At 37.2% G+C, this 24,501-nt stretch overlaps 1 long non-coding RNA gene across 1 annotated transcript in view, besides 1 other annotated feature; it reads left to right on the top strand.

Moving 5' to 3' along the window:
* The window catches only part of LOC105377975 (uncharacterized), a 295,277-nt gene that overhangs the window by 158,978 nt on the left and 111,798 nt on the right, over window positions 1–24,501 (top strand). The gene's annotated exons all lie outside the window — the stretch shown is intronic.
* Window positions 18,350–19,184: an enhancer, noted in NCBI's record as "H3K27ac hESC enhancer chr6:120048273-120049107 (GRCh37/hg19 assembly coordinates)". NCBI's record gives its function as "activates a minimal SCP1, AML or CMV promoter by ChIP-STARR-seq in primed H9 embryonic stem cells {active_cell/tissue: H9 hESC(primed)}" and the evidence as "EXISTENCE:reporter gene assay evidence [ECO:0000049][PMID:30033119]".

The following is a 24,501-nucleotide window of genomic DNA, read 5'->3' on the forward strand; positions in this document are numbered from 1 at the left end:
TTAGTAAAAGAATTTAATATTTGTTTTTCTAATATTTTCCCTCAAAGAAGTTCCATACATTATTCGAATTTGAGAAACATTGAATTAAGAAGTTGTTTTTCTAAATGAAAGTTTATTATTTTTAATTCACTATACTTTTTCAATTTTTGGTAATATTCCCAGATTTATCCATGTATACTTAATGTTTTCTTATCTTATGGTAGGCTTTTTTAAGGGTCAAATAAATTTAGATGAGTTTTATTTTGAGCAGTTATAAATTTTCTGTCTGCATTTTTTTTCTCAGTAGATTTCAATCTCTTCTCCAAAAAGCAAGAGGTAGTTGGTCAATTTTAGTTCGAACGCTGTATCGGTGAGGCCAAGCTTGTGGTGTGAAGATAGGGAACTACGTCATTTCTCTATGGTTTCTCACTGCCCACGGCTGCTGGCCAGAACTCCTGTGGATGCTGCACTAAGATTCATAGGAACACTGGATGCAAATAATCCATCTTAGCCTCATGTAATACAACTCACGTTGTTAAACCAAAAACATCATTTTTGCCTTTACAGCTGAGTACATCACTGGACTAAACAGAAAATGGATACAAATAGCAAAAGCAGAATGCGAAATCATCATACATAATTTAGAAAGAGGCAATACTTACTTTTAAATCCTCCCCAAGCCCCCATATAATTTTTCACTTAAGGTGTAAATTAACTTCTGGGGAAAAATATCTACAAGCTCTGAAAAAAAGTTTGAGGAGACTCAAAAATAGACCCACTTCCCTGTGGATCCTAGATAAATTTACCTTAACAGTTTGTCCCGGTACACACACACACACACACACACGCACACACACACAGAGTTGACCCTTGAGCAACACAGGTTTGAACTGTATGGGTTCACTTATAATGTAGATTTTCTTTTGCCTCTGCCACCCCTCAACAAAACCAACCTCTCCTCTTCCTCCTCCTTAGCCTATTCAATGTGAAGATAATGAAGATGAAGATCTTTATGATTGATGATCTACTTCCGCTTAATGAATAGTAAACATATTTTCTCTTTCTGATTTTCTTTTCTCTAGTTTAAGAATACAGATTAACACTTTAAGATTAATACTTTAAGAATACAGATTTAATACATATAACCTACAAAATATGTGTTAATCAATTGTTTATGTTCTCAATAAGACTTCTAGTCAAGAGTATCGATAAGGCTTCTGGTCAGGTTAGGTGTTTGGGGAGTCAAAAGTTTTATGCAGAGTTTTGACTGCACAGAGGGGTTGCTACCTCTAATTCTCACATTGTTCAAAGATCAACTGTATATATTTCAAGGAATTGGCTATGTGATTGTGGGTTGGCAAATCTGAGGGCAGGCCCTCAGGCTGGAAACTCTGGGGCAAGAATTCATGCTGCAGTCTTGAATCAGAATTTCTTCTTCTTTAGAAACATCTTAGTTTTGTTCTTAAAGCCTTTCCAGTGATTGAATGAGGCCTACTCACATTATGGAGGATACTCTCCTTTACCTAAAGTCAATAGATTGTAGATGTTAACCAGATCTACAATAGACCTCCATAGCAACATCTAGATCACTATTTGTTTGAATAACTGGACGCTATAGCCTAGCCAAGTCGACACACAAAACTAACCATCATAGTTCCTAAATCTGATCAGAATCTTCCACATGCCCACAGGTAGTAGCTCAGTTTTCCTCTTATATGCTCTCATATTCCCCAAGAAAGGAATTTATATTTGCTTCAACTTCTGTACCCAAACATTCTTCTCATCACTCAGTGGCTCTTAGCCTCCATGCTGTAGTTGTCTTTAGATCTCAGGTGCTCTCCTGAAATTCCTGACCCTCTGATAAAGATATTCTTCCAGTGGTGCTGATGACTCCTTGTTCTATGAAATCTCCTTTCCACACAACCTATTCTGCACTCTCTTACCTCTGCTAGAACTTTGGCAAGTTATACTTTTTACCTCATGTGGTGACTGTAACCTTTATTCCCATAGAATTTGAACTCTTTCTGGCTTTTAATTGAGGTCGTGTAGACTCCCATCAAACATAATTATGGATGTAATAAGAGGCACGCCAGTGAATCCAGTGGATTCCCCATATAACCTCCTTGTCCCTAACCTGTAGCAGCAACACAAGCACCCTTGGCTATAGGAATAGGTCACCCCAATAGTACTAATAGCCACCTTTCTGCCCGTCAATTCAGTGGCATAAGAGCTCCAAATTAGTAGGAGGTAGATTTAGCTTCCAAAGTAATGGAATTGTGACTTTGTTCTCAGTTAGAAGTATTATTTTCTTAGGAACTCATAATTCCAAATTTTTGAAACCCAAGGGTAAAGGAACAAGACGCAAATTCTACAGCATAGAGATTTTAGGCTTAAAATTGAGGGGACACTCCCACTTCCACTCTTTGGTTCCTGGACCTGGTTATGGTTGAAGTGGGGGGACATTATTATATATTGGTCACTTGTTTAAATACCCCAAACCCCTCCTCCTCAGCTTGTGCCAGAGCTGAGCCTTCAATAGGCCATCTGCTTCCAAATGATGGGACATGTGATAAGACTAATGAATTCCATGAGCATGACTATTGCTGCATTTGTTTCATTACAAAGCGACTTTCTTGGTTGAGGGTGATATTTTGTGGTATAATATGTCAGTAGATAAAGCATTCATTTAGTCCCTTAATAAGGACATGTATTAGTTTCCCAGAGACACTGTAACAAAGTACTATAAATGGGATGGTTTAAAAGAACAGAAATTTATTCTCACACAGTTCTGGAGGCTAGTAGTCTGAAGTTCAAGTGTTGGTAAGACCATGATCTCTCAAGGGTTTAGGAGAGAATCTCTTCCATACTTCTAGCTTCTGATTTCAGTGGCAATCTTTGGAGTTCTTGATTTGCAGCTACAGAACTAAAATCTCTGCCTCTGATGTCACTTGACACTCACCCCCCATGTCTTCATACCATCTTCTTATAAGGACACCAGTCAAATTGAATTAAGGGCCCACCTTACTCCAGTATGACTTTAACTAATTATATCTGCAATGACTGTATTTCCAAATAAGGTCACACTCTGAGATATTGAGGATTAGGACTTTAACATATGTTTTGAGAGACATAATTCAAACCATGACAGAATGAATGTTAGAAGAAACATTGTGGACTGGGAGGCCAATCCATATCTAGGATTCCTGAGGACAAAATCTCTATTCCCAGATAGAAGGGATCCAGCAGGGAGCTGGCTGGTACCTTTGGGGAATGGTTCCATAGCAGACTCATCATTGGCCTCCATAATTGACAGACTTAGCACCTAGCAATTGTGATAGCCAAAGCAGCATTGGGGAGAGAAAAATCTATGTTGCTATTATTTAAATGTTTGTGTTACTTCCAAATGCATATCTTGAAACCTAATCCCCAATGTGAAAGTATTAAGGGGTAGGCCTTTGGGAGATGATGAGGTCAGGAGGGTGGAACTCTCACAAATGAGATTAGTTCCCTTATAAAAGAGGCTTGAGGGAGCTTGTTTTCTCTTCAACATGTGAGGACACACAAGAAGGCACCACCATCAGGAAAGAGGCTCTCACCAGACACCAAATCTGCTGGCCAATTAATCTTAAACTACTCAGCCTCCAGAACTGTAAGAAATAAATTTCTGTTGTTTATAAACCACTTGCTTTATGATATTTTGTTATAGCAGCCTAAATGAACTAAGACACTGATGTATAACCTGCAGGTTTACTACCACAGCCACTTAGAATGAGCACAGCATTTGCTGAGCAAGGAGGCTGAATGGCATCTACACTAAGGATCACCTCTATCAATATTAAGAGACTGTTCTGCAGTAGATGCCCTCTGGTAGGCTTTTATATATGATATGAATATTCTAATATTCCTGATACGGTTTGGCTGTGTGTCCTCACCCAAATCTCCTCTCGAATTGTATTCCCTATAATCCCCACATGTTGAGGGAGGAACCTGGTGGGAGGTGATTGGATGAGGGCAATTTACCCTATGCTGTTCTTGTAATAGTGAGTGAGTTCTCACAAGATCTGATGGTTTTATAAGTGTTTGACAGTTCCTCCTTCCCACGATCTCTCTCTGGCTGCCATGTAAGATGTGCCTACTTCCCCTTCAGCCATGATTGTAAGTTTCCTGAGGCTTCCCCAGCCATGCTGAACTGTGAGTCAATTAAATCTCTTTCCTTTATAAATTACCCAGTCTTGGGTATTTCTTTATAGAAGTGTGAAAACAGACTAATGCAATTCCATAACCATTTGGAGAAATCTGTCCACATGTCTTGTCCCCAGAACACCTTGCCACCAATTCTTGCTTTTCCAAGTCACTAATGAAATGGACATCCCATTAGCTTTTCCCTGGAGTCATTGTGGATCCATATAGTAGACCATCTATCCCTCCACAGGAAGTGGAAAAACAAATATACTGCCTGAAATTCTGTCCACTGGGAATATTTCCATTTCAGACTAAATTTCAGACTGCTACAAGTGGGTCTAGAGTGTAGCAGCTGTTCATTTCTGGATGGAGTTAACATCTGTCAAACAGGCAATTTTTCCTCCTTGCTAATAGTCATAGGTAACTTCGTAGCCATGGTTTGAGGAACTGCCTACACAGCAGTAGGAGTAGATACTTTGAAGTCTGATTCTGTTCAGAGGAGTTATTTGAGTTTTCTGGATACCCTTTGTCCCTGTTAGGTATATTCCATTCCTATTTAATAATTTGATGCTGCTGCACACATCTACTTTTAGGTTTTCTTTTGATCAGATGATATCCAATTCATGATGAGCAGCTCAGGTCATATAGTCTCCTGGTTGCTGTGCTCAGGGGTTATTATTTGGTTGTACCAAGATCCAGTAGCAAATTAGGAACAGCTTTAAAGTGGAAATAGTTGTTTGCAGAACAGAGTTTGAATTTACTCCAAAATATTAGGGTCTACATTATGTTTTTCCTATAGAGGCATATTGGGGGCTCCAAAGGGTGCCTCTATTTGTGACAGAATTCAAATACCATTTAGATATGCTAGCTTATGATGTCTAATTGATGGGACAGCTTTTACCACAACCTGGACCTATTGCTATCCCTCTTTTGCTCTGGGCAACATTCAAAACTGGTATCCTTGTGGATTACTCAGGAAATGGATAACAGCAGTGTTCCCAAATGTAGCATATGCTTCCTCTAAAGTCAAAAGACATGTTAAATGAGGTGCCTCATTCTTTATGGTAGGAAGTTCAAGGTGCAGTTAACTGCATTTCAGAGGGGATATCCCACATGATCTATAACAAAGGATTCCCAGAATCTTTGAATTTGGCAGAATCCCAAATCTTCATGGTATTTGGGCAGAATTCCAAAGCTCTGTGGGTTTTATTTTCTACACACTAAATCACAAGTGTCTTACTAAGGCATCTAGGTGTTTGCAACCTCCTGCTTATCAGGTCTAATTAATATAATGTCTTCACTGTAATGGATGAGATGTTTTCTGAGATTTCAATGTAATCAAGATTTCTCTGGACTATATTATGATAGAGATCAGGAGAGTTGATATAGTCATGAGATAAGACACTGAAGGTATACTTTTGTTCCTACTATTTAGATAAAGATGAATTACTTCTTATTTGTCCCTAATTCAGATAGGGAACAAAACAAAATAAAATGAAATCATTTTCTAGGTCAATAACTCATCTCAGCAGCCAGCAGCCGTGTTGGTGGTACCGATATTTCAGGGTCATTCTAAAGTATCCATTTGGCTTTTGTATCAGCCAAACTAAAGAGCTAAATGAGGATGGGATAGAAATCAAATCACCATTCCTGTTTCTTTCAATCCTTGATAGTAGCACTAGTTTCTGCAATTTTTCCCCCAGGGATATGATATTGCTTTCTGTTTATTATTTGACAGGGAAAATTCCAGGGGCTCCAGTGGGCTCTTCTCAACATAATGACATCAATGGCATCAGTCAGGAAACCGATGTGAGGATGTTTCTAGTTGCTAAGTATGATTATTTCAGGTAGTCAGCCATGAACACAGAAAATAATGACTAGGAAGGGAGGTAGCCCATCAACCACTCTAAGACAGATATAGGCCAAGACTCCATTCATTTATTTTATGACTTTGTGCCCATACTAATTAGTGCTAAATTGGGGCAATAACTAATGGCTCCTAGGTAGTATCATTACTTTTCTTTCCTAGTTCACTCTCACCTTGTTAAATGGCCATGGGTTCTCTCGGGGAAGGCTCGGAGGAAGAATTACAGTGTATCCTTGTGTCTACATTTCAGGGTGATTCCTTAACAGAAGCTAGCCTCCATCTCAGAAGGCTCTGGGTTTATGAACGGGGTATGAGGTCATGAACTCCTACTATAGCACTTTGATTTGATGTATTGCCTACTAGAAGAAGAAATGGTCTGATAACATAGACCAAGTAGTATTTTAGAAGGCTGACAATCTGTTTCATTTGTAAGGTCCTCCTAAAAATGTTAGCCACAATAAAAAAATCCATGTGGGTCAAAACACTTGTATTACCATTCTGTCCTTGTGGTTTGTTGGGGGTAATTGTTCCAGTCTCATGCCCAAAACTGAGCACTGCCACCTGGCCTCTAACACTTCAAGACCCCATAATTCTCATTAAGATTAGAGAGCCCAAATTTTCGCAGCATCTCTGGTCTACAGAAAGTAGTCATCACAGAACTCTTAGGAGATGTGATTGCTTAATACCAAAGTATTCTTATTGCTTTGGAGAAGGAAGTATTCTTCAACCTTTTTGTAGCTATAGTGATGGTGTGTTGGAATAAGTTACATAGAATGGATTCACTCCAGAATGTTCACCTCCCTATGCCTTTGGATGTTCCTCTTTGTGCCAGAGTAGTCCCAGCATCTCAACCTCATTATTGTAGGTCACCACTGAGCACAGGTTTCACCAAAGTGTTAGAGCCCATCCCAGATTCTTCCACTGACAAATTATATCTAGAATTTCAGGTGAGTTTTCTCATATTAATAAATTCTTCCTGAACTAATCTCATATTTTTCTCTCCTTGATTTAACCCCTTCAGAATAAATTTCTAAACACACTTTTCCAGTTGTCAATGTCCTAACACATCTCTGGTTTAGAATGTATCGCATCCTTGAGGATACCTTGCACTTCTCCTTCTTGCTATGTAAGCAATGAGTGATGATTGGGGTTAACCTTGAGAATGAGAATCTCCTTGCAAGGTAAGTGCTGCTGATGAAGTCACTGAAAGTAGTTTTTGCAGACAGGTTGGAGGATTGCTTCAACTCCCAAAAAAGATTCACGGGCCTCTAAGAATTTAAGTTAAGGACCCCATCTCAAGTCTCTGGGGTCCTCTTTTTCCAACTAGTGGCTCATTATAACAAGTTTCTAAGGTTACAACTGGGTCCCTGTTTACAATGTACTAGGACCCTGAGACTTGACATGGGCTAGTAACCCTAATTTTTTCATGAACTTTTGAAGCCCACTGAATTGATATATTTACCAACATTGAAACTCTGCTCATACCATCACATCTTGGTCCTGATCATCAATTATGTTTGTTCTGCAGATATACAAGACAAGGGATACATTTAAAGCTGATTAGTTCTCCCTCATGCTTTGAGTTGAGTATTAAAGGCACTAAGCTGATATTTTTATTTTTGTAAGCTCTTTAACAGAGTGAGAAGCAGCCTGTAATCTTTATTACTATAGTGATCAAATGGCACACACATAATCTTCCAAAGCATTGCTCTCCACTGATTACTCTATACGCCCTCTCCCCAAACCCCAGCAAGGAAATCGTCTGTATATTATAAAATAATATGTGTGGAATCCACACTAGAATTTTAACGTGAGGGGCTGTTTCTTGAGGCTACTCCTGGTACCAATTCGCGCATTGCCAGGGGCCCAGCAGGAGACAGAAGGCACACTAATGGAATTCTGAGGAGAATTTAATGAGTGTACTAGCTAGAGATATGTGGCATTTGGATTAGAAAACAAACAAGAGAAGCAGAGGGACCCCCTGACTGGCAACATCAAGGTGTTACCATTCCTAAACCTGAAGGGGTGGGGAACAGTTCACCAAAGCCCTGTGAGCCAAAGCCTTGGAGGAGGCGCTGCCTGGCAGGAGCTGAAATCAGAGAGAGTCACATCCAATGTAAGAATCCTAGCATTAAAGCAGGCATGAGCAAGCCAATAACTGGCCTGACCTCTCTCTTCCTTCCTTCTGATTCCTTGTTAGGCTTTTCATTAGCCCATGCCATGCACTCTGTAGGGTTCAGCCTTTCAGGCATACACAGAACACAGAGAGAATGGATCTGGGTCAGTGGAGAGTGGAGGGTGGCAAAGAGAATAATTTGCATGTTGTAGTGATGGTAGGAGCTGTCTATGCAGTAGTGGTGAATTCAAGGAGAGAGTCCTATTGCATTCGGGAATCCTTTTAGTATTGCTCCTTGTGGAGAATGTATTCTTTCAGGCTCATTGTATCTCAATAAGAAATCCCTTTCCATGCCATATCCTACCTTGGTATGCCAGAAATTCTTTCCTGTGGGCCTCATGGTCCCCAGGCAAATCGGGATATATGACTAGAAACCGCTTGGGTGTCTTTAAGTATTCTGACGGTGAAGGTGATTATATATGGTTGTAGCATATGAAAGCCTCCAGAGAGATCGTTGCTAGTGCACCTGAGTTCAAGCCAAGAGATCCTGTTAGAAGGTGAAGTAAAAGAAAATTAAGGTGAGCATTACTTGGAAGCAAAATTAATTTATAATATGATGTGGCAGCAGAAAAGCTGAATGTTTTTTGAAGATCTTTATGAAGAAGAATCACAGCCCTAAATATTTCTTCCCACACAATTCAGTTACAATGCTTCAGATATCACATCTGACTTTGAATGTCTGAGTAACAATAAGTTGCAGACGTTTGGTGGATTAGTAGAAAGGAAAAGTGTGCAATTAAATAAACGAAAAAAGCGTTACTGGTGAAGAAATACCTGCCTCCAAAACAGAGCGAAATAGATTGATCTCTATGCCCCAAATTATAAAAGGTGTAATGTGTTTAAGACACATATTAAATGGTATGATAGAGACTACAGGGAAAATATAACTTGGGCATGAGAATGACTACTGACACTCGGGTATCAGTAATACAATCTTTTTGGTAATACACAGAAAATCAATAATGCACAGAAGAAAACCTTGTAATACATAGATGTGTGGACGGGATGTTGATTGTAAACTGTAACTTGTTTAGTCACAGGTGTGCATTCCTTTCTATGATGTATTCCTTAACTCTGTGAATGTGAAAATTCAAACTGGGCGTAGACCTGCAAAATGAGGAAACAGGAAATTTTACTTTCTATTTCCCATAAGTAGAACAAATTTAGCTGTATTTTGCTAGAGGCAAGTTTGCTGAACTTGAATAACCTTTACATTGATTGCTATAGACATCTAGATATGATTGCAAAGCATTCTCTGTGGTGTTGCAGTTTTACACAGTGTAGGTTTTTGGTCATTGTGTCAATCTACATTGCTTGCCTCAGACTATCTCTATTTGAGAAGCTCTTTTAAATAGAAAATGGCCTTTACTTGAGTTACTGGATTTCACATTGCTATGCTGAGGGGGAGGGCATGCAAACTTCGAAGCTAGTTGAACGAAGTTGCAAACTTTGAAGTTAGTTGATCTTGCTTTCTTCACTTACTAGCTGTGTGACATTGGGCACATTTTTAGCTCCTGTAAGCTTTGGCTTTCTTTTCTGTAACAGGGGATGATTAACACTTATAGTTATGTTTTTAGGATTAAGGGGGATAATATATATAAAACATCCAACATGGCTGGCATTTAGGGAGACTCAATAAATAGAAGCTGCTGAAATTCTTCTTCATTGTCTTCTTATTTCTCAATTAAGGAATCAATATGCTTTCCCTGTGGAGTAGAGTTGTGGTACTTCCAGGATAGGGAATGTTGGTAGGGCAGAGACTTGTCTCTGTTGCCAGAGTTAGACACCATTTACCTAAAGTAGCTTCTCCATTTCTACTTCTCAGAATAGACTGATTCAGCACCCCCTGGAGACTTTAACTTCTTCCCTAATAAATGAAAAGTTTGAATCTGAAGTCAGGTAACATTTTGCCTTAAAGCATTGTCTTAAATGGATTTTTCTTTCCTGCTTTAAAGAAAGTCAGGAAAGATTTATTATAAATGCTCTCAGGAGGCCTTTTCCAAAATGCTTCCCCTTAAAGTGGTAGTCACAAAAATGAGCACTGAATGCTGCCTTGGAGATTTAAAAATCAACAGCAAAACCATTTTCTGCATGTCTCTTACTGAATTGGGGATGAGTTTGAATATGCTCAAAATTAACCTAAAACTTCACATTTGATTAAATTAAGATCCACATCTGAAGACATGGATAACAATTCATTTTTAATAAAAAGAACCAATTATAAAAAGGAGATATATTAGAAAGCTGAGAAGCAAGCCAAATTATATTAGGTAGCTGTACAGTTACATCTTTAAGGCCAGTATCTCTTTAAGAGATAATTTCATCAGTATTTATTTAAATTACTTTATATATTACATTCGGCTGAAATAGCAATTCTGAGTTTAATTCAGATAACATAAATAAGTTTTGCTTTTATTCTTTGACATTTTATAAATCTTTGCAAATAATGTTAATTTTTTCTGGGGGATGGGGTGGGGATAAAAATGAAGAACATTAAATTTGCCTTTTCAGCTGCCTTTTTCTGTCTGTAGGCTCTGAGCGCATTTTGAATTTTTGAAGGAAGAAAAAAGCTCACAGTTTGCACACTTGCTTTATTTCTACTCCCTATCTGCTTAACAACCATTGAGAAGGATTGCTACCTATCTAGAGATCCTTCCTAAGTTGACCTTTTCTCTGAAACATAATAATAGCCTAATAGATGAGCAAATAAATGTTAGGAAATGTTAGCTCTCCTTGGTAGATGTGATCATTTATTTCCTTTTCCAGTTTTATAATATTTTATAATCAGTTAATACAGAATGGTAAACTGAGAAATATGCCAGACTTGGCATAAAAACTCCTAGATTCTATTCCTGGTAATTCAATTTATTTGACACTGTGTCTTGCACAAGTCACTTAGATTTTTCTGAACCTCAGTGTCTCTATCTGTGAAATGGAAATACCAACTCCTGCCTATGATGAATGTAGTAAATTTGTTTGGCCTTAGCATCCATTTCCAGCTTCTTTGGTCTGACCTTCTTATTCTACAGAGACTGGGGAGCCAAAAAAAAAATCCATACTTCCCAGGGTTCCTCAATGCTAAGGTTTGGAAGCAAATTGCGTCCTATCATTTAGAAGTATTTATTCAAGCTTCAGAAAGTGGGGCTAATATGGAAGTCATATTCCTGCAGCTTTTGTTTTTTTCTTCTAGAAAATAGGTTGCAAAGCTATGGGGTTTTCCTTCAATAGTGTTCCAGCATTCATCTCTAGTTAGTAAAGGTGGCAGCAGAAGCAGTGGCAGCTTTCGCATTTCCAGGCCACAGCTATAGCAAAATGTTCTTGGCTTGACAATACCGGTGATGGCCTCTTGCTTTTTATCTTCCAATTTTGGCAAAATCTGCAGTCCTCCTAGTGGTTCAGTTGTGCAGTGTTTGGGGCTTGTTCCTGGAGACCCAGCTTAGAATGTGCTCTTCCCAAACTTCTAATTATTTTGTAAACATATATTTTATTGAATTAAACCCATTTTTCTTAACATACATAAGTGTGTATATTTATGCTTTTGAATGTTAATACTTGGTCTTATTTTAAGATGCTTTGTTAAAATGCTATATGGACATAGGAATTACACACACACACACACACACACACACACACACAACAAGATTTGCGACATTCTTTGTCTAGTAGATCTTTCTTTTCTTTTCTTTTTTTGTGATAGTGTCACTGTCACCCAGGCTGGAGTGCAGTGGCACATCGTGGCGATCACAGCTCACTGTAGCCTCAAACTCCTGGTCTCAAGCGATCCCCCTACTTCAGCCTCTTATCGTGACTAGTGGCATTTAACTGGAACATACCTTGTAATGTTTTCTGCTTACACCCTGGTAATGGGGTCAGGGCAGAGTGAATTGTGGTACAAGAGGGTGGCCTTATGCTTCTCAAGCAACTTAAGGTCTGGCTATGTAGGGGTACTTGGTCTTGAGTAATTTCCTTGCTCCTGGGCTCTATTCTTCATATCAACTGCCTTTGATTAGAATTTTCTGCAGCTCTTGTGAATTTCAAGAATCTCAAAGTCAGGGTACTGGGTTATTTCTTGCTTTCCCTTTTTTTCTTATAAGCAATGTCCTTTGGGAAACTAAGGTTAGAAGTTTGAAATTGTAAAGGATTGCGCCAATTCTTAACATCATTGGTTATTCTGCGATGCAATCCTGGTATATTTCCTGCAAGAAATCAAATTATTCAGTTTGAAAATATGATGATTCTTAAAACATAACAGGAAAGCTGTATGTGCTAAATCAGCACTCTGGGGTCTCAAAATTTCTGAGTTATGGTTAGCTAATCTCATTATTACCACTCATTTAATAAAGCCACCTATAATATTTGCAACTTTGGATTTGTGGTGGGTATGGTAAGTAAATCGTGATTTTTTTCCTTAACCTTGGGGAACTTAAGATTTTTAATCAGTGGACTGCTCTGCTCTGATCAAACACAATCAATTTTAAAGGAAAAGTGTTCCTAGTACTATTCTGAATTGATAAGCACTTACCAAAAACCAAATGTTAGTTTTACATTAGTAATGTATGCATATTTTATACTTCCTTATATCAAAATGATGCAAAAGAGGGTTTTGACTGCAACATATGGTAGGAATTAAATAATACCTGGTAACTGCCTTAACTGCCTGGTGGCTTTATTTTTTTATTTTTTTGTTAATTTCTTTTTATTCTTTATTTTTCTATAGGTTATTGGTGTTTGGTTACATAAGTAAGTTCTTTAGTGGTGATTTGTCAGATTTTGGTGCACCCATCACCTAAGCAGTATACACTGCACCCTATTTGTAGTATTTCATCCGTCATTCCCCTTTCAACCTTTCCCCCAAGTCCCCAAAGTCTATTGTATCATTCTTATGCCTTTGCATCCTCATAGCTTAGCTCCCACATATCAGGGAGAACATACGATGTTTGGTTTTCCATTCCTGAGTTACTTCACTTAGAATAATAGTCTCCAATCTCATCCAGGTCACTGTTAATTCCTTTTTATGGCTGAGTAGTAATCCATTATATATATATATATATATATATATATATATATATATATATATATATATATATACATACATACACACACACCTACCATATATATACCTACTATATATATATACACCATATATATATTTATATATATACCTACCATATATATACCTACTATAGTATATACTATATATAATATACTATATATATATGTATACTACAGTTTCTTTATTCACTCATTGATTCATGGGCATTTGGGTTGGTTCCACAACTTTGCAATTGCAAATTGTGCTGCTATAAACGTGTGTGCAAGTATCTTTTTCGTATAATGACTTTTCCTCTGGGTAGATACCCAGTAGTGGGATTGCTGGATCAAATGGTAGTTCTACTTTTAGTTCTTTAAGGAATCTCCACACTGTTTTCCATAGTGGCTGTACTAGTTGACATTCCCACCAGAGGTGTTCCCTGATCACCACATCCATACCAATATCTACTGTTTTTTGAGTTTTTGATTATGACCATTCTTGCAGGAGTGAGGTGGTATCGCACTGTGGTTTTGATTTGCATTTCCCTGATCATTAGTGATGTTGAGCATTTTTTCATATGTTTGTTGGCCGTTTGTATATCTTCTTTTGAGAATTGTCTATTCATGTCCTTAGCCCACTTTTTGATGGGATTGTTTGTTTTATTCTTACTGATTTGTTTGAGTTCGTTGTAGATTCTGGATATTAGTCCTTGGTCAGATGTATAGATTGTGAAGATTTTCTCCCACTCTGTGGGTCATCTGTTTACTCTGTGGACTGTTCCTTTTGCCGTGCAAAAGCTCTTTAGTTTAAGTCCTAGCTATTTATCATTGCTTTTGGGTTCTTGATCATGAAATCCTTGCCTAAGTCAATGTCTAGAATGGTTTTTCCAATGTTTTTGTCTAGAATTTTTACAGTTTCAGGTCTTAGATTTAAGTCCTTAATCAATCTTGAGTCGATTTTTGTATAAGCTGAGAGATGAGGATCCAGTTTCATTTTCCTACATGTGGCTAGCCAATTATCCTAGCACCATTTGTTGAGAAGGGTGTCCTTTCCTCACTTTATGTTTTTGTTTGCTTTGTCGAAGATCAGTTGGCTGTGAGTATTTGGGTTCATTTCTGGGTTCTCTATTCTGCTCCATTGGTCTATGTGCCTATATTTATACCAGTACCATGCTGTTTTGGTGACTATGGTCTTATAGTATAGTTTGCAATCAGGTAGTGTGATGCCTCCAGATTTGTTTTTTTGCTTAGTCTTGCTTTGGGTATGTGGGCTCTTTTTTGGTTCCATATGAAGTTTAGAATTGTTTTTTCTAATTCTGTGAAGAATTATGGTGGTATTCTGATGGGGACTGCATTGAATTTGTAGATTGCTTTTGGCAGTATGGTCATTTTCACGATATTGATTCTACCTATCCATGAGCATGGGATGTGTTTCCATTTGTTTGTGTCATCTATGAGTTCTTTCAGGAGGGTTTTAGGAGGGTTTTTTAGTTTTCCTTGTATAGGTCTTTTGCCTCCTTGGTTAAGTATTCTTAAGTTTTTTATTTTCAGTTATTGTAAAAGGGGTTGACTTCTTGATTTGATTCTCTGCATGGTTGCTGTTGGTGTATAGAAGAGCTACTGATTTGTGTACATTAATCTTGTGTCTAGAAACTTTGCCGAATTCTTTTGTTACTTCTAGGAGCTTTCTGGAAGAGTCTTTAGGGTTTTCTAAATAAATGATCATATTGTCAGCGAACAGTGACAGTTTGACTTCCTCTTTACCAATTTGGATGCCCTTTATTTATTTCTCTTTCCTGATTGCTCTGGCTAGGACTTCCAGTACTATGTTGAAGAGGAGTGAGAGTGAGCATCCTTGACTTGTTCCGGTTCTCAGAAGGAATGCTTTCAACTTTTCCCCATTCAGTGTTATTTTCGCTGTGGGTTTGTCATAGATGGCTTTTATTGCATTAAGATATGTCCCCTGTATGCCGATTTTGCTGAGAGTTTTATCGTAAAGTGATGCTGGATTTTGTCAAATGCTTTTTCTGCATCTATTGAGATGATGATGTGATTTTTGTTTTTAATTCTGGTTTATGTGGTGTTTTATTGACTTGCATATGTTAAACCATCCCTGCATCCCTGGTATGAAACTCACTTGTTCATGGTGGGTTATCTTTTGATATGTTGTTGGATTTAGTTAGCTAGTATTTTGTTAAGGATTTTAGTGTCTATGTCCATCAGAGATATTGGTCTGTAGTTTTCTTTTTTGACTGTGTCTTTTCATGGTTTTGGTATTAGGGTATGCTGGCTTCGTAGAATGAATTAGGGAGGGTTTCCTCTTTATCTTGTGGAATAGTGTCAAAAGATTTGTTACCAATTCTTCTTTGAATGTCTTGTGGACTTCTGCTGTGAATCCGTCTGGTCCTGGCCTTTTCTGTTTGTAATTTTTAAATTACCATTTCAATCTCACTGCTTGTAATTGGTCTGTTCAGGGTATCCAGTTCTTCCTGATTTAAGCTAGGAGGGCTGTATTCTTCCAGGAATTTATCTATCTCTTTTAGGTTTTCTAGTTTATGTCTAAAGGTGTTCATAGTAGCCTTGAATGATCCTTTGTATTTCAGTGATGACAGATGTAAATCTCCTGTTTCATTTCTTAATGAGGTTATTTGGATTTTCTCTCTTCTTTTCTTGGTTAATCTTGCTAATGCACTATCAATTTTATTTATCTTTTCAAAGAATGAGCTTTTTGTTTCATTCATCTTTTGTATTTTTGTTTGTTTCAGTTTTATTTAGTGCTGCTCTGATCTTGGTTATTTCCTTTCATCTGCTGGGTTTGGGTTTGGTTTGTTCTTGTTTCTCTAGTTTCTTGAGATGTGACCTTAGAAGGTCAGTTTAGGTACTTAGGTACTTAGGGCTATGAGCTTTCCTCTTAGCACCACCTTTGCTGTATCCCAGAGGTTTTGATAGATTGCATCATTATTGTCATTCAGTTCGAAGAATTTTTTAATTTCCATCTTGATTTTTGTTTTTTCCCTAATGATCTTTCAGCAGCAGGTTATTTAATTTCCATGCATTTGCATGGTTTTGAGGATTCCTTTTGGAGTTGATTTACAGTTTTATTCCACTGTGTTCTGTGAGAGTGCTTGATATAATTTCAATTTTTTAAAATTTATTGAGGCAAACTTTGTGGCCAATCATATGGTCTATCTTGAAGAAACTTCCATGCACTGTTGAATAAAGTGTGTATTCTGTGGTTGTTGGATAAAATGTTCTGTACATACCTGTTAAGTCCATTTGTTCCAAGGTATAGATTAAACCCATTGTTTCTTTGTTGACTTTCTGTCTTGATGACCTGTTTAGTGCTGTCAGTGGAATATTGAAGTCTGCCACTATTACTTTGTTGCTGTCTATCTCAATTTTAGGTCTATTCGTAATTATTTTATAAATTTGGGAGATCCAGTGTTAGGTGCGTATATATTTACGATTGTGATATCTTCCTGTTGGACAAGGCCTTTTACCATTATATAATGTCCCTCTTTGTCTCTTTTAACTGCTGTTGCTTTAAAGTTTGCTTTGTCTGACATAAGAATAGCTAACCCTGCTCACTTTTGGTGTCTATTTGTGTGAAATCCCTTTACCCCTTTGCTTTAGGTTTATGTGAGGTTTCGTGTGCTAGGTGAGTCTCCTGAAGACAGCAGATAGTTGGTTGGTGAGTTCTTATCCATTCTGCAGTTCTGTATCTTTTAATTGAAGCATTTAAGCCATTTACATTCAATGTCAGTACTGAGATGTGAGGTACCATTCCATTTATCGTGCTATTTGTTACCTGTGTACCTCTTTTTGTTGTTGTTGTTGTTGTTTTTGCTAATTAACTTGTATTTTTGTTTTATAGGTCCTGTGTGATTTATGCTTTAAAGACGTTCTGTTTTGATGTGTTCCCAGGATTTGTTTCAAGATTTAGATAGAGCTCCTTTTAGCAGTTCTTGTCTTGGTGGCTTGGTAGTGGCAAATTCTCTTAGCCATTTGTTTTTCTGAAAAAGACTGTATCTTTCCTTCATACATAATGCTTAGTTTTACTGGACACAAAATTCTTGGCTGATAATTATTTTGTTTGAGGAGGCTAAAAATAGAGCCCCAATCATTTCTAGCTTATAGGGTTTCTGCTGAGAATTCTGCTGTTAATCTGATAGGCTTTCCTTTGTAGGTTACCTTGTGCTTTTGTCTCAGAGCTCTTCAGATTCTCTCCTTTGTTGTAACTTTAAATAACTTGATGACAATATGCCTAGACAACGATCTCTTTGTGATTCATTTCACAGGTGTTCTTTGTGCTTCTTGTATTTGGATGTGTAGGTCTCTAGCAAGGCCGGGGAACTTTTCCTCGATTATTCCCCCAAATATGTTTTCCAAAATTTTAGATTTCTCTTCATCCTCAGGAACACCGATTATTCTTAGGTTTGGTCATTTAACATAATCCCAGACTTCTTGGAGGCTTTGTTCAGATTTTCTTATTCTTTTTTCTTTGTCTGTGTTAGATTGGGTAAATTTGAAGGCCTAGTCTTCAAGCTCTGAATTTCTTTCTTCTACTTGTTCAGTTCTATTGCTGAGACTTTCCAGAGCATTTTGCATTTCTATAAGTCTGTCCAATGTTTCCTGAAGTTTTGATTGTTTTTTCTTTATGCTATTATTTACTTGAATATTTCTCCCTTTACTTCTTGTATCATTTTTTGAATTTCCTGGCATTGGACTTTGTTTTTCTCTGGTGCCTCCCCGATTATCTTAATTACTAACCTTCTGAATTCTTTTTCAGGTAAATCAGGGATTTCTTCTTGGTTTGGATCCATTGCTGGTGAGCTAGTGTGATTTTTTGGGGGTGTTTTGTCATATTACCAGAGTTGGCTTTCTGTGTGTGTGTGTGTGTTTTTTTTTTTTTTTCACATTTGGCTTGACTCTGTCAGAGGGAAGGTCTAGGGCTGAAGGCTGTTTTTCAGATTCTTTTGCTCCATGATGTGTTCCCTTGATGTAGTGCTCTCCCACTTTTCCTATGGATGTAGCTTCCTGGGAGCTGAGCTGCAGTGATTGTTATCTCTCTTCTGGGTTGGCCAGCCAGCAAGTCTGCCAGGCTCTGTGCTGGTACTGGGAGTTGTCTGCACAGAGTCCTGTGATGTGAACTGTCTATTGGTCTCTCAGCCATGGATACCAGCACCTGATCCAGTGAAGGTGGCAGTGGGGTGAAATGGACTCTGTAAGGGTTCTTAGCTTTGGTGGTTTAATGTTCTATTTTTGTGCTAGTTGACCTCCTGCTAGGAGGTAGCGCTTTCCAGAGAGCATCAGCTTTGCTAATATGGAGAGGAACTGGGGTTGAGCAGGGTCCTAGAACTCCCAAGAGTATATGCCCTTTGTGTTCAGCTTCCAGGGTGGGTAGGGAAGGGCCGTCAGGTGGGGGTGGGGCTAGGCGTGTCTGAGCTCAGGCTCTGCTTTGGTGGGTCTTGCTGTGGCTGCTGTCAGAGTTGGGGGTGAGTTTTCCAGGTCAACAGAGTTGTGTACCTAGGAGGATTATTGCTGCCTTTGCTGAGTCATGCAGGTTGTCAGGGGAGTAGGGGAAAGCTGGCAGTCACAGGCTTCACCCAGCTCCCACACAATCTGAAGAGCTGGTCTCACTCCCACTGTGCCACCTCCAACAGCACAGAGTCTGTTTCCAGGCAGCAGGCAAGCAGGGCTTGAGAACTTTCCCCAGGCTACCCGCCTCCCAGCTGTGAAAGAAAAGGACTTTAGTTCTTCCCCCACCTGTGGAATCTGCTGGCTGGATTCATGCCCTCCAGCAAGTTCTGGCCAGGAGGCTTCTCACCTGGTTCAAATTGTTACAAAGTTCAGCTGGAGACTTCCTTCTCCCTGTGGCATTTTCCCCATACCTCTGGACACCCTCCTGAAGGATCCCTGTGGTGCCAGGCATGAATGGCCTGCTTGGGGACCCAATGAGTTCCCAGGACCCTTCCTGCTGCTTCTTCTACCCTTGTATTTTGCTTGGCTGTCTAAATTGACTCAGCTCCAGGTAAGGTCAGAAACTTCTGCAAACCTTCCGTTTCCCCAGTAGGGGTGTGTGTTCAGGAGCAGAGGATCTCCCTTTTCTACTTCCACAGTTTGGGCACTCACAGTATCTGGGGTGTCTCCCAGGTCGTGCAGGATCACTCTGCTTCCTTCAGAGGGTCTGTGGGTCCTCTGGGGATTCATGGTTTGTTCTTGCAGTCATTCTGGAGCTAAAATTCACGATGCGAGCCTCCGCATGCCGCTCTGTCTGAGTAGGAGCTGCAATCTAGTCCTGCCTCTCATCCACCGTGATGATCTCCTTAATTGCTGCTGCTCACCTCCCGCTATGCAGCTCAGTTCCTAACAGGACACAGACTGGTACAGATCTGTGGCTTGGGGGTTGGGGACCCACAATTATGGAGGTTGAGAAGTTCCTAGGATCTGCAGACAGCAAGCTGGAGACCTGTGAGAGCCAGAGATGTAAATTCCAGTCTGAGTTCAAAGTCCTGAGAACCAGGAGAGTTGGTGGCAGTCTCAGAGAGTAGGAGAAAACTGATGTCCCAGCTTAACTGTCAGTCACAAAGAGAGCGTGAATTATTTCTTCCTCCATGTCTTTGTGCTATTTTGGGCCCCAGTGGCTTTAATATTTGGAGAAGTGAGCAGGATTTAGCTATATGAATTCTTTCTACTTTGCTAAATCAAACACATAATTGCACAAATTCAGATATAGTCTGTTTTTACTTCTAAAAAGTTTTTCAAAGCCAGGCTTAAGCCATGTATGAATAAGATAAACCTACGTCATTGAACAATCTTCTCAACCCTTTTGAAACGTACATTGTTACCCATGTGAATTAGAAGATTGCCTGGACAGCTGTAAATTTAGAAAATCATGTTTTAAAATGTTTTTAGAATTTATCTATGAATGTAATAAATGTTGGGCAAGTTTGAAACATTTAACCTCTATTAATACTTAAATAATTATCATCTCCAGGCTAATTTTTATCACTATATATCTATAACTGTATATACATCTATTTTTATATTAACAATTTTATAAGTGTGTGTGCAGTAGTCCTCTCTTATTCTCAGTTTTGCTTTCCTCACTTTCGTTTTCTGCAGTTTCAGTTACCTGTGGTCAACTGTAGCCTGAAAACATTAAGTGGAATGTTTTAGAAATAAACAGTTCTTAAGTTTTAAATTGGATGTCATTCTGAGTAGGGTGATGACATTTAGCAGTTCTCACCTGGGACATGAATCTTCCGTTTGTCTACAGAATACCATAGTCGCTTAGTAGCCATCTTGTTTATCAGACCAACTGTCTGGGTATCTAAGTGCTAAATTAAATTGCTTGACATAAGGTTTGCTGGAGGAGATCCAGAATTAGACATTAATTATTTTTAGAAATTAGGCTTTGTAACTATAAAATAGTTATATCATTCAAATATATGTACTGATTTTTTCAAAATGAGAGCATGCTATAGATGCACGTAATCTTTGCACATACATTAACATTGTCATATTTAATATACATCCAATACTTGTTCTAACTTATGAGAACTCAAACATTTTTCTTTTATAATTACTGCTTTTCATGTCATGTTTACATTTTTGCATCTATAATATAATGGTGTGTAATATAAAGTTGTATAATGTGTTACACTATGTAAATATTTATCTCTATATGCCTATAGCACTTACATGGCTTTACTTTTAAATTTAATTTGTGATTCTTTTTAAATTTATTTTTGGGTAGAATAGAGCGGAACCTATCTGATTATATTCTATATTGCTCAACAATTGTCCCAACTCCATCATTAAATTATTCTTTTCCTGTGTCAATTTAAGAAGCCATTTTTATCTTGTACCGAATTTTTATATATTTGTGTTGCTGTTCTCTCTTTTGAAGGTGCCATACTTTCTTGATTATGATAAATTGAGACTATGCTTTAGAACCTGGAAGGATAAGTCCTTCCTCATTAGCCTTCCTTTTCATGGTTTTCCTGGGTACCTAGAGAACTTTAAGATAATTTTCATCAATTCACTGAAAAAATATTAGTATTCTGACAGAAAATGAATACATTCATAGCTTAATTTTTGGAAGAATTTGTCTTTATAAAGATGTGCCTTTCTCTCTCATAATCTGTGTGTTTTCTACATATTCATTTTGCTTATATGCTTCTGAGTAAAATATTATAATTTTCTTCATATAGGTGATCTAATTTTCTGTGAAGTTAATTCCTTATTTTTATGTTTCTTGTTACTATTGTATGTTGCTTTAAGTTTTCTAATTTTGAAAACATTAATTTTTTGGCTTATATGTCCATTTCAATTATTTTATTTTCTATTTTTAATAGCTTCTTAGTTGGTTTCTTCATCTTTTTTGTAGGTATGTAAATATTTAGATTTTTCCTATATTTTTGTATTTTTCATTGTTCATATTGTATTTTCTTCTCTAATTGCATTGGCTATCTGATTCAGAATAATCATGTGTGCATTATTTGTGGGAAACATGATTATTATTTTTGGCATTGATGCCACTACCTGGTATTAATGGTCATGTATGCAATGTTTAAATAGGAAGTTGGCTAGAAGGGTTGTGATTGATTTTAATATATCAAGTCTTTCTATTCATGTTTTTAAGAGATTTGCCATTGGGAGTGGGTGTTAAATTTATTTAATGTTTTTTTTTCAATGTATTAAAATTATTTGAGATTTTCTTATTTAACTTAGTCATGATATTTATTTGATTAATAAATTCCCATATGTTACCTATGTATTCCTGGTATAAATACAAAGAATATTAATTTAAAAATGTACAGCTGGATTTGATTAGTTAATGTTTTATTTAGAGTTTTGATTCCTTATATTCACTATTCACATTAGGATAGATAGATACAGATATAGGCACAGATATAAAAATAATACATATAAATATATAAATATCCATATAATGTTTTAGTATTTAGACATAGTCTAGTTGAAAGCATGGCCACCATCAGCTCTTTAGACTCATTTCTCTATTGTTAAAAACGAACTGACTTTCTTTTTTTTTTTAATTCCTCTGCAAAACCCTTGAAGAAAGATTCTCGTTGGTCACTTTGAGACCAACTCACTGTGGTTCGTTATATGCTTGTGAATTGGAAGAAGAGCAGTTCCCCATTGAAGCAAGGATGCTGGACTATAATTTATATCTTTAATCTCTGTAACAATTTAATTGAATATTAATTGAATTTAAATGCTGATTTGTTTGTAGAAAACTTGAAACAGAAGCTTTGGAAATTTCTTTTTTTAAATCTAGGACCTCTGGGGTTGGAAAGTGATGGGAAAGTGGTGGATAGAATATTTCTTTGACAATGTTCTCAATTTATTTCATTTTTTATTTCAGTTTCAATTTATTTCTTTGACAAGTTCTCACTTTATTTCATTTTTGGGGGATCTATTCATGTTTGAATTAATCATTAAAATATATTTTTTAATTCAGTTTTGTACATATCTCATATTTTAGATGTTATACTCTTTTCATATACAATATCATATGCTCATCTTTCTCTCTTTTGCCTAGTCTTATCAGCATTTTGCTTATTATACAAGTCTTTACAAAGAAGCATTTCCTGTATTTAGTGTTAATTCTACTATTTTCTGTTCCTCACTTATTAGTTTTTCTTTTTCTTAATAATTTATTACCTTACTTTACTCAGAATAGTAAATGTATCCTCCATACCTGGGAAGAGAATGCAGACTGTAGAGCACAGTGTATAATTTGTTTTACATATAGAATACGAATGTTGATGTATATACGTATACCATATTTTGATTCTAATACATATTTTGTTTTCACATTTTAATCTCTTCAATAAAGATTTGCCTTACAAATGATAGTTTAATTGGCAGCATGTTTACCTCTCCTAGTAGAACATAGTAAATGTACATTTATAAATAGTGACATTTTTGATTTGGCGAAACCTGTATCTGTTAAATTACTTATCAGTAATACTATCATAACTCTTTAAATATAAACTTATGTTTTTATATTTATACCTGATGTGTATATGTTAGTCTATCCATAATATTATATTTTTACCAATTTTATACTCACCTAAATTTTTTTTCTGAATGCAAATAGTAGTTATTTTCAGATATTTAATGTGACAGAAACTATAGCATTCATATATGCATCTGATATGGTTTGGCTGTGTCTGCACCTAAATCTCAACTTGAATTGTATCTCCTAGAATTCCCACGTGTTGTGGGAGGGACCCAACGGGAGATAATTGAATCATGGGGGCTGGTCTTTCCCGTGGTGTTCTCATGATAGTGAATAAATCTCATGAGATCTGATGGGTTTATCAGGGGTTTCCGCTGTTGCTTCTTCCTCATTTTTCTCTTGCCACTGCCATGTAAGAAGTACCTTTTGCCTCCTGTCCTGGTTCTGAGGCCTCCCCAGCCATATGGAACTATAAGTCCAATTAAACCTCTTTTTGTTCCCACTTTGGGGTATGTCTTTATCAGCAGCATGAAAGCGAACTAATACAGCCTTTTAAATTTTTAGCTATGATATGGAAGAAACTCTAACCAGTTAAGAGAGAGTTCAAATTAAAATTTTAGTGGATAAGGTGAATTAGTTAAAAAAATAATTAACTGCACAGCTTGAAAAAAGTCACCATATGGTTGACTAAAAATTGCTGTAAATTTAGTTGTTTAGAAAAAAATTAAATTATTTTTGAATGAAGTATACATTAAAACAAAGAATAAGATAAATTGATCTAAATTCAAATTTAGTAGAAGTGTTGGAGGCAAAATTGGAAGATATGTCACCAGTTGTCTTTTAGTTCACTATAACATCACTTTCTCAATACGCAAATCATGCCAGGTACTGAGCTGGGCACTGATGGGGCTGAGATGAAAAAGACAGCTTCCATGTTCTGAAGGAATTATTGTCTAATCCTACATGGGCAGGATCTAAACAATACTGGACCATTCTTTGACTTCTATTCTTATGGATTCAATATCAAAAGATATTGAATTATTCTTAGACTTAGTTATAGAACAATAAATTAACTAAAATAGAATGTATAGTTTCCAGGCCACTGTAACCACTCCATGCTCCACAGAGCGATCACGCAAAATAAGAAATAAATATAAAAATATAACAAACTGAAAGTATACTTACACTGGAATATAAAACTTTTTGACCAGGTGTCACAAATGGCTACTGAGAATAATAGACGGTTTCAGAACTTATAAGTTAGCATTTATGGAG

This window comes from Homo sapiens, chromosome 6, assembly GCF_000001405.40.
Source record: "Homo sapiens chromosome 6, GRCh38.p14 Primary Assembly".
Lineage (NCBI taxonomy): Eukaryota > Metazoa > Chordata > Mammalia > Primates > Hominidae > Homo > Homo sapiens.